Source organism: Homo sapiens, chromosome 10 (assembly GCF_000001405.40).
Source record: "Homo sapiens chromosome 10, GRCh38.p14 Primary Assembly".
Lineage (NCBI taxonomy): Eukaryota > Metazoa > Chordata > Mammalia > Primates > Hominidae > Homo > Homo sapiens.
In genome coordinates this window covers 110,392,865-110,401,313 of record NC_000010.11, presented here as the reverse complement: position 1 = coordinate 110,401,313, position 8,449 = coordinate 110,392,865, and the positions used below count along the sequence as shown (strand labels likewise).

The window sequence follows — 8,449 nt, the reverse complement described above, 5'->3', positions numbered from 1 at the left end:
GGCTGAGTGGATGCTTTGGATTCAAACTCTGCTGTTGACGAATACTGTTAGTTGCCTGTGTCATACATCTCCCACAGCCCCCCTTATGCTACACCTTCTGCCACATACACACCCTTCCTTACAGTGACAGCGAACCCAGCTCCAGGCAATGGACTATGACTGGTCTAAGCCAAGGGTCAGCAAACTACGGCCTGAGTGCCAAATCTGAATGCCCCCTGTTCTTACATGGTACATGAGCTAAAATGGTTTTTAACACGTTTCAAATGGTTGAAAACATAAAAATAATATTTTGTGACACATGAAAATTATATGATATTGAAGATTTTTAAAATTTCAATGTATAATTTTTATTTTTTTATAGAGACAGGGTATTGCTATGTTGCCTAGGTTAGTCTCAAACTCCTGGCCTCAAGTGATCCTCCTGCCTCGGCCTCCCAAACTGCTGGGATTACAGGTGCGAGCCACTGCACCCAGCTGAAATTCAAGTTTAAGTGTTCATAAATAAAGTTTTATTTAAATACAACCACATACGTTTGTTTATATATTATCTATGACTGTTTTTGCGTGACAAAGGCAGAGTTGAGTAGTTGCAACAGAGACTGTATGACCCACAAAACCTAAAATGTTTCCTGTCTACAACTTTCCAGAAAAAGTTTGCAACCTTTGGTCTAAGCAATCATGATAATCCTGCTCCTTTTTTCCCAGGCTTCCTTGCAATGAGGAGTAGGCACATGGTCCAGTTCTGTCCAAAGAAAACTAAGCAGAGGTTTCTGGGGGAGACCTGCATAAAAGCATTATTTTTCTGAAAGAAGGAGACAGCATGGCTGGGCCCCATCCTCCCTACCTCCTGCCTGAAGTGTGGGTATACTCTCTGGAGCCCAGCCAGGTATCTTCTTTCAGAGCCCATCTCCTGCCAAAATATGGAAAAACAGAGGGTCAAGAGTTCAGTCTGGAGGGCTGGGCAGGCTGGCTGGGGTCCAAGAGAGGGGAACGGTCCACCCTGGGCACCTGTCCAGAGGATGGGCTGCTTCTCACCTAGACCAAAGGAACCACTTGTCACCTGGAGTGGATTGAAGAAGGGTTGTCCCCTCCCAAGAACTTATTCGATGACTCCTGTCTGCTGGCCCCAACATTGACATCTGGAGGGCTGGAAGATGGACTGTCTCTGCTATGGAATCCTGGTGGCCAGCATTTTCCCCACGTCTTCTGGGTTTCCCTTTGTACCCAGCTCCTCCTATTGTAACTGAAAGATAGTAGATAATCAAAATAATCTTGGATGGTTGGGTGGATAGGTAAGGGCTGAATGAATGAATGAATGGAAAATACAGCTATTAAGAGGCTATCTTTCACACATGTGAGCTGACGGCAACCCTGTGAGGTCACAGGCTAGGTGTTACTATGCCCATTTAACAGAGAAGGAAACCGAGGTTCTGTAAAGCTAATTGACTTTCCCAAGGTCACAAGACTTGGAAGAGGTGAAGCTATGGCCCAAACCAACACTGCTTCAAGACCTGGGCACAGGCCCCTCCTGCCTCACCTCCCTGGACATCACCTCCAGTCCATACTAGACCCAATATATAGGCAAAGAACCTGCCGTCATCTCAGCAAATCATGAAAGGAACTTTCATGATTTGATGTGCAACCTTTGCAAATCAAATGATACGGGTCTGGGAAGCTGCCAGGAACAGCCTCTCATCCACATCCCCCAGTTCTGCTCTTGGGACTGCCAAGAACACGTCACTTCCTTAACAGTACATATTTGTAGAATGAATGAGTTCTCAGTACATATTTGTAGAATGCATGAGTTGCCCTGCATCGGTACAAATTCCTCAACAAAAGTCATAGGCTACAAAATCCCGGAAATGCAGGTACGATTGACATCACGTTTCCTAGCTTTGCAATAGAATGCAATGTGCATTCTGGTGGCCAAATGAGCCTCCTGCTGTGCTACACAAGCCCATGATATTCATCACCACCATCATGAAGGATCAGTTATCAGGCACACTTGCTGTGTGCCACTCACTATTCCAAGCATGCTATGTGAATGTTCTCATTTAAACTTCACAACCAACCCAGTGGTCTGGGTAATACTGCTATCCTCATTTTATGGTTGAGGAATTTAAGGTTCAGAGAGGTTAAGTAACTTGATCAAAGCCACACAGTCAGAGGTATCAGAGTCAGGTATAAACCCAAGTTTTTGTTTTGTTTTTTGTTTTGTTTTGTTTTTTACCTCCAATAAGAGAGGAGGTGGCAGGGAAGTCTTGTGTGGGATGGCTCTTGGGGGACAAATGCCCCCTCTGTAATCTGTATGGAGGGTGGTCCAGTCCGAGAGCTGACAGGAGAAGAGAGAGCTGCTGCTCAGGGAGGCAGAAGTGGGCGGGGACCTCTTGTTTGGGCAAGCCTTTCCTTGTCCCGTGCCAGGCTCAGCCCTAGCAGGCTCACCCAGTGGACATGACTGTTTGTGTGTGTTGGGGGGTGGGGTAAGGGCAGTGGATTAGGAGGGGTGGGGCTGGGCTAGCTGGGTTGTGATTCCCATGGAGACGCTGGTGATTCATTGCCCCTTCCAGCGAGTGGGGCCTCTATCAGGATGTGACTTGTAGTAAACAAGTCACAAGATGCCATCCAGGCAAGAGGGAAATGGGGAGGGGAGGATGGTGTCTCATCCTGAGCCTGGGCATCCTGGGCTTCGTAAAGTGCCTACCTGAGGCCCATCCCCAGGCTGCAGTGAAAAACCTTTCTTTGCCTGGGGGGAAGCACACTGGAAAAGGTCACTGCCAAAACCTTTTGAACTCTTTTTCCTGGAAGGTTCCAGGACCTCCATTGCCCTGGCCCAGAGGTACAGCGACTCGAGCTTGGGCAGTGAGTCCTGGTGCCCGGAGAATATCTCTCCCAGGGCTTCTGAGAGGTATGCATAGATAAGTCAACCTATGGAGTTTAGAAGAGCTGGGCTGAAAAAGAAAAGAAAAAGCTAAATCAACCTGCACACCATTAATTGGCACCTACTATAAGTCCAGCAGGGCCCAGTGGCTGACTTGGGATAGGTGCTCAATAAAGGTGTGTTGCCTGACTGAGTAACTGAACCGGGCTCATAACTCCAGGCCAGATGAGAAAACAGAGGAGGCACATCCCAGCCTTCAAGGAATTCAAAACCTCACTCACAGTAATAACACAATTCACAGAACAATTAAGTGTTAAATTGCGAGACTCTCCCTAGGTGTTCTAGGAATTTTAAATGGGGGCTGGGACCTTAGGAAGGCTTCCTGGAGGAGGTGGACTCAGGTTGGTTGAGTGGGGAGGCTGGAGGTAGGTCTGAGTGTGAAGGGGGTTCAAGATGAACATAGCGAGGAATGAGGCAATTGTGTGATCCTTTGGAGTGGGAAGGTTTTTAAATATCCTGCCTGATGCCCACAGGCCTGTACCACAGTTACAGGGCTTGGTTGTGGAGGTTGACCCCATGCCAGGAAATCACTGAAGACAGGTATGTCCGTTATTGCCTGATTTTATGGGTGAAGAAACTGTCCCGTCTTATGGGTGAGGAAACTGAAGCTCTAACATGCTCAGTAAATTACCTGAAGCCACATGGATACAAAGGGGAAGAAAAACTCAACTTGCGCTCTTCAACATGTGGGCCGCTAGCCGTGTATCTGAAATGTAGCTAGCCGTGTGAGTGCTTGAAATGTAGCCAGTCCCAACTGAGCTGTACCGTATGTGTAAACAACACACCAGATTTCAGACCTACTAAGAAACAAACAAAAAATATATAAAACATCTAATTTATAGCTCTTGTTAGTACTTATTACATGTTGAAATAATATTTTGGATATATTGGATGAAATAAAATCTATCATTAAAATTACGGTTAACCTTTGAACAACACGGTTTGAATTGAGAGGGTCCACTTATACACAGATTTTCTTCCACCTCTGCTGTCCCTGAGACAAGACCCACCCCTCCTCTTCCTCCTCAGCCTATTCAATGTGAAGTCGCCAGGGATGAAGACCTTTATGATGAACCACTTTCATTTAATGAAGAGTAAATATATTTTCTCTTCCTTATAATTTTCTTAATAACATTTTCTTTTTTAATGGCAAGGCTTCTGGTCAATAGCAGGCTAGTTATAGTCAAGTTTTGGGGGAGTCAAAGTTATACTTGGATTTTTGACCTCATAGGGGTTGGCACCCCTAATCCCCTCATTGTTCAAGGGTCAACTGTAATTTCATCTGTTTCTTTTTGCTTTTTAAATGTAGCTACTAGACATTTTTATTTTACTTATTATTTGTTTTTCTTTTTTAGAGACAAGGTCACCCTATGTTTCCAAAGCTGGCCTTGAACCCCTGGGCTCAAGTTATCCTCCCGCCTCAGCCTCCTATGTAGCTGGGACTACAGGTGCACGCCACCATGCCCGGCTAGAAAATTTTGAATTATATACGTGGCTAGCATAATGTCTCTACTGGACAATATCCCTGCCAAGTAGCAGCGCAGCCTCAGCAGACACCTCTAAAGATGGTGTATTAGATCATTAGAGCTGCTGCAACAGAGAACCCCACAGATTGGGTGGCTTTAATAATAGAAATTTATTGTCTCACAGTTCTGGAAATTTATTGTCTCTGACTGGAAGTCCAAAATCAAAGTGTTGGTTCCTTCTGAGGCTCTGCCTCTCCTCTAGCTTCTGGAGGTTTGCTGGCCATCTTTTGGGATCTGTGGCTTCTATAGCTGAAAAGCGTTATGAATTCTATGCTTTCCATCACCCTGGTTCTATCCCTGCCTTTGTCCTCACATGCTGTTCTCCCAGGGTCCACATTTCTCCTCTAAAATAGCAACACCCATCATGTTGGATTAGGGACCCAACCTACTCAACTAATGACATCTACAAAGACCCTATTTCCAAATAAGGTCATATTCTGAAGTACTAGGGGTTGGAGCTCCAACATATGAATTTGAGGGTCACACAATGCAACCCATAACAGATGGGGACTCCCTCCCTCTCCAGGAGCCCATTCCATATTTGGATCACCCTGAATGATCTTCCTCTTGTGCCAGCCCAGAGATCCACAAAGGAGCCTCCTTAAAATCTCTTGCAAATGCCCAGCCCCACTCTGTCAGGTGGTGCCAGGGACCAGGGACACCCTCATTTCTTTCCTTGGAGCCCAGGTATGATGGGCCCCACCCTGGGTGAGACATATCTGTTAACGATAACCACCTGGAGAGCAGGAAGGAGAAAACTGATAAGGGAGAGAAGGTTAAAAATAACCCATGAGCTGCCCACATGACCTTTGCCCTTTGCAACTTTGATTTACAAGCATCACAACCAGGAGATCACCTGGGTCTATGCTGGCTGTAAAACCTCATGGCTGACGCAGCTTTCTACTCAGTGGCCTGGGAATTTCCAGTCCTGTGGTGTGACCGATACACAGAGGTCAGGCAGTTGTTTTTCTTTCTTTTTTCCCTGGCAGCCCTTCAACACCTTCCTAAGAGTGGGAGGGGTTCTAGTGAGGGCTCTGACTTACCGCTCTTTGTCCCTTAAGAGGAGGGAGTTGGCTTAGGAGGACTGCACTGTCCTTCAGAGCAGCCGGGTCACTGGGACCCAGTTCAACCCCTGTCCTAGCATGACTTGGGAGAGCTACGGAGTTTATTTCAGCCTCGGTTTTCTTATCTGCCAAATAGGAATAAGAAAGAAGGTTTGCCTTGCCTGTCCTGTCAGGTGCCAGTGAGAAACCATCTAAGAGGGCATCTGGGCCCTGGGGTTCAAGGAGGACTGAGGTGGTCACCAAGCCCACCTGCACTTCAGTCCCCCTCGCACATTGCACATACATGAAGTGTGTTCGGGGCCAGGTCTTAAGGTGCTTTGGGTCCCTCACTGTCCAGGATGGGGTTCCCAGCGGAGCTGCATCAGCATCCCCTGGGAGCTTGTCAAAAATGCAGACTCTCAGGCCCTACCCCAACCTGCTGAACCAGAATCTGCGTTTTTAAACAAGATCCCCAAGAGATGAGTGTGCTCATTAAAGTTTGAAAAGCCCCACTTCAGTGGACATTATTTTGCCTGTCTTGGGCCCATTCCCCCTTCTTCTGGTAAAATTGATCGTATTTTTTTGGGGGAGAACCATGGGCCCCAACTCTGGCCATATGTGCTTCAGTAGGGCTAATCCACTCTCCAGAACCCTGAGGGCACACGAAAGTGAGTCCTGGCCAATCCAAATCAACGCTGGGACTGTGGCTGGGCACAAGGACCTCTCTTTACATGGCTGTTGTTCCGCTGTAGGATGGAGTCTGGAGGTGGGCTCCGCCATTTTGGTCACGATTATGAGAATCTAAGAGTGGAATCCTTGAAAAAAGGAGCAGAAGAGGGTGTGTGTGTGAGTGAGTGTGTGTGTGTGTGTGTGTGTGTGTGTGTGTGTTTAAGAGAGAGAGGAGGATTCCAGATCACATCTACTGAGCTTCCATCTTTGTCCAAATTCAGATCGACTTCCTGGCTTTTCAGTGTATATAAGCCAATCATATAAGACCGAAAGAACAGGTCTCGTAGGATGTGATGACTCCTGCAGGAGGCAGGTAGGAGGATATCTGAGCAGGCAGATGATAAGGGATGAGAGTGTTAATGGTAAAATAACTGGCAGTGAAAGACATTTCAGGCAGGTGGTCCTACTTGAATGCCCCCTTCCAAGCACATCTGTGGTGCAGTGTGTCCCATTCCTGGAGCCAGGCCTGACCTGCCCAGCCTGCCTTGCCCCCACCCCCGTCCCCAGGCTTTTGCTAGGAGCTCTGGACTCATAAGCTCGGGCCAGCTCTGGCATCGCATTGCCTGGGCATCTCCCTGCTTCCAGGATGGAGGCCCCAGGAGAGAGGAGGCTGTGGCCCGGGGCTGAGGACAACAGCCAGGGCCCAAGGCTGTTTAAGGAAAAGCCACAGTTCCATTGTATAGACCTGTAGACAGAGGGGTAAACTCAGAGGAAATGAGTTGCCTTGATGCACACGTTGATAGCCAGGGGCTACGTCTACCCGGCCAGGCCCAAACTGCGTTCCCCAAGACATTGACCAACCTTCCCCATTTGATAATGACTGAAGGGGTTTCAGGACATTGGCCAACCAGGATGAGTTTGATTGCCTATTCCCAGAGGTTTCCGGAGCATGCATTGGGACAGGCAGGAGTGGTAGGGTGGGAGTCCTGGGATGCCAGGTCGGGAGGGGAATCCTCCTGCCTCCGGGAAGCATGGGGTCTGCTCCCAGGGCTGCTTTCCCAGAAGCCAGAGCACCCTCGCCCCTGCAGGGCTTGGAGGGGGAGTGCTGAGATGCAGGGATGGAAGAATCTAGGCATGAGTATGCATGTGTGTGTCTGTGTGTGTAGAGGTCTCGTGTGTGTGTGTGCTCACGCCTATGTGCAAGTGGTAGTATCAGTGGCCAAATGAGAGGCAGTGCCTGATGTGAAGCTGCTGGGTATGAAACATGAGAGCTGTGAGAATCGCCTGAAGACTCCATGGGCCAGGGCTGAGTCCCTGAGGGGCAGGTGTCCGTGTGTGAGGGGAGGGAAGGCTGGGAGTCACCTTTGCATCTATGAATCCGCCACGCGTGTGCCTTGCAGGTGGGAGTGGAAACGGTGGGAGGTGTGCGTGGAGACTTACCTGCTGCCTATGGGAGCTGGTTCTGTGTGGTCATTCTGTGTGTCTGTGTCAGCTGTGGGGGTTGTGATGGGGAATATTGCTGTCTTTGTGAGTCTGTTTGGGGCATATGGATGAGCACTGGGTGTGTGGGCAGGGGAGGAACCTGCTGCCTGTGGAATCCACATGTGGGTCGAGGGCCTGTGGGCTGGGCAGCGAGTGCCCACAGTGATGTGAAAATACGGTGTCAAGTGTGAGCCCACTGAGTGGGTGGGCAAAGCTGTCCCTCCAGAGTCAGGCCCGGCATTGTCTCCCTGATTGTCTGCCCTGAGAGCAGCAGGAGTTCCCGTCCCAGGGCTCACATTGTCCTCAGTTAATTCCAGTTAATCCTGGTTAATATCCCCACCTGGGGGAGTTTAATGTGCCCCTTCGGGCTTCTTCCCCACTAGACCTTCTCAGAGTTAAGGAAGCAGCAAACTGCTTGGCAGCACAAAGCCCCTGGGCCACATTTGCCACTTTTTTTTAGAAGGAAAATTGCTGGCAACACTTCCATCCTCCGCTTCCAGAGAGAGCGGCTTTCCGCACAGATGTGTCTTCATACCAAGGCGGGCGCCTGGGAGCACCCGACTGTTCCTCGGCATTGCCATAAATCTAGGGAATATTCGAATGATAGAGCCATGTGGCCCGATTGCGAAAGGGCGGGGGTGGGGGGAACTCCCTGAGCCTTTGTGAGAGGCTGAGAGGAAGCAAGGCAGGGAGGAGATAGGAGGAGGAGAGAGCAGGGAGGGAAGGAAAGGCAGGAGAATGGAGGAGGCAGGCAGAGGGGGCATCCTGTCTGGCAACAGAGTGACATGGCT

General features: G+C 49.0%; 3 annotated features.

Annotated features, from left to right (window-relative positions):
• Nucleotides 5,291-5,540: an enhancer, noted in NCBI's record as "active region_4018". NCBI's record gives its function as "activates an Ori minimal core promoter by ATAC-STARR-seq in GM12878 lymphoblastoid cells {active_cell/tissue: GM12878}" and the evidence as "EXISTENCE:reporter gene assay evidence [ECO:0000049][PMID:35858748]".
• Nucleotides 5,291-5,603: a biological region, named in NCBI's record as "Sharpr-MPRA regulatory region 10815".
• Nucleotides 5,309-5,603: an enhancer, noted in NCBI's record as "tiled region #10815; HepG2 Activating DNase matched - State 8:EnhW". NCBI's record gives its function as "activates a minimal TATA promoter and a strong SV40 promoter by Sharpr-MPRA in HepG2 cells {active_cell/tissue: HepG2}" and the evidence as "EXISTENCE:reporter gene assay evidence [ECO:0000049][PMID:27701403]".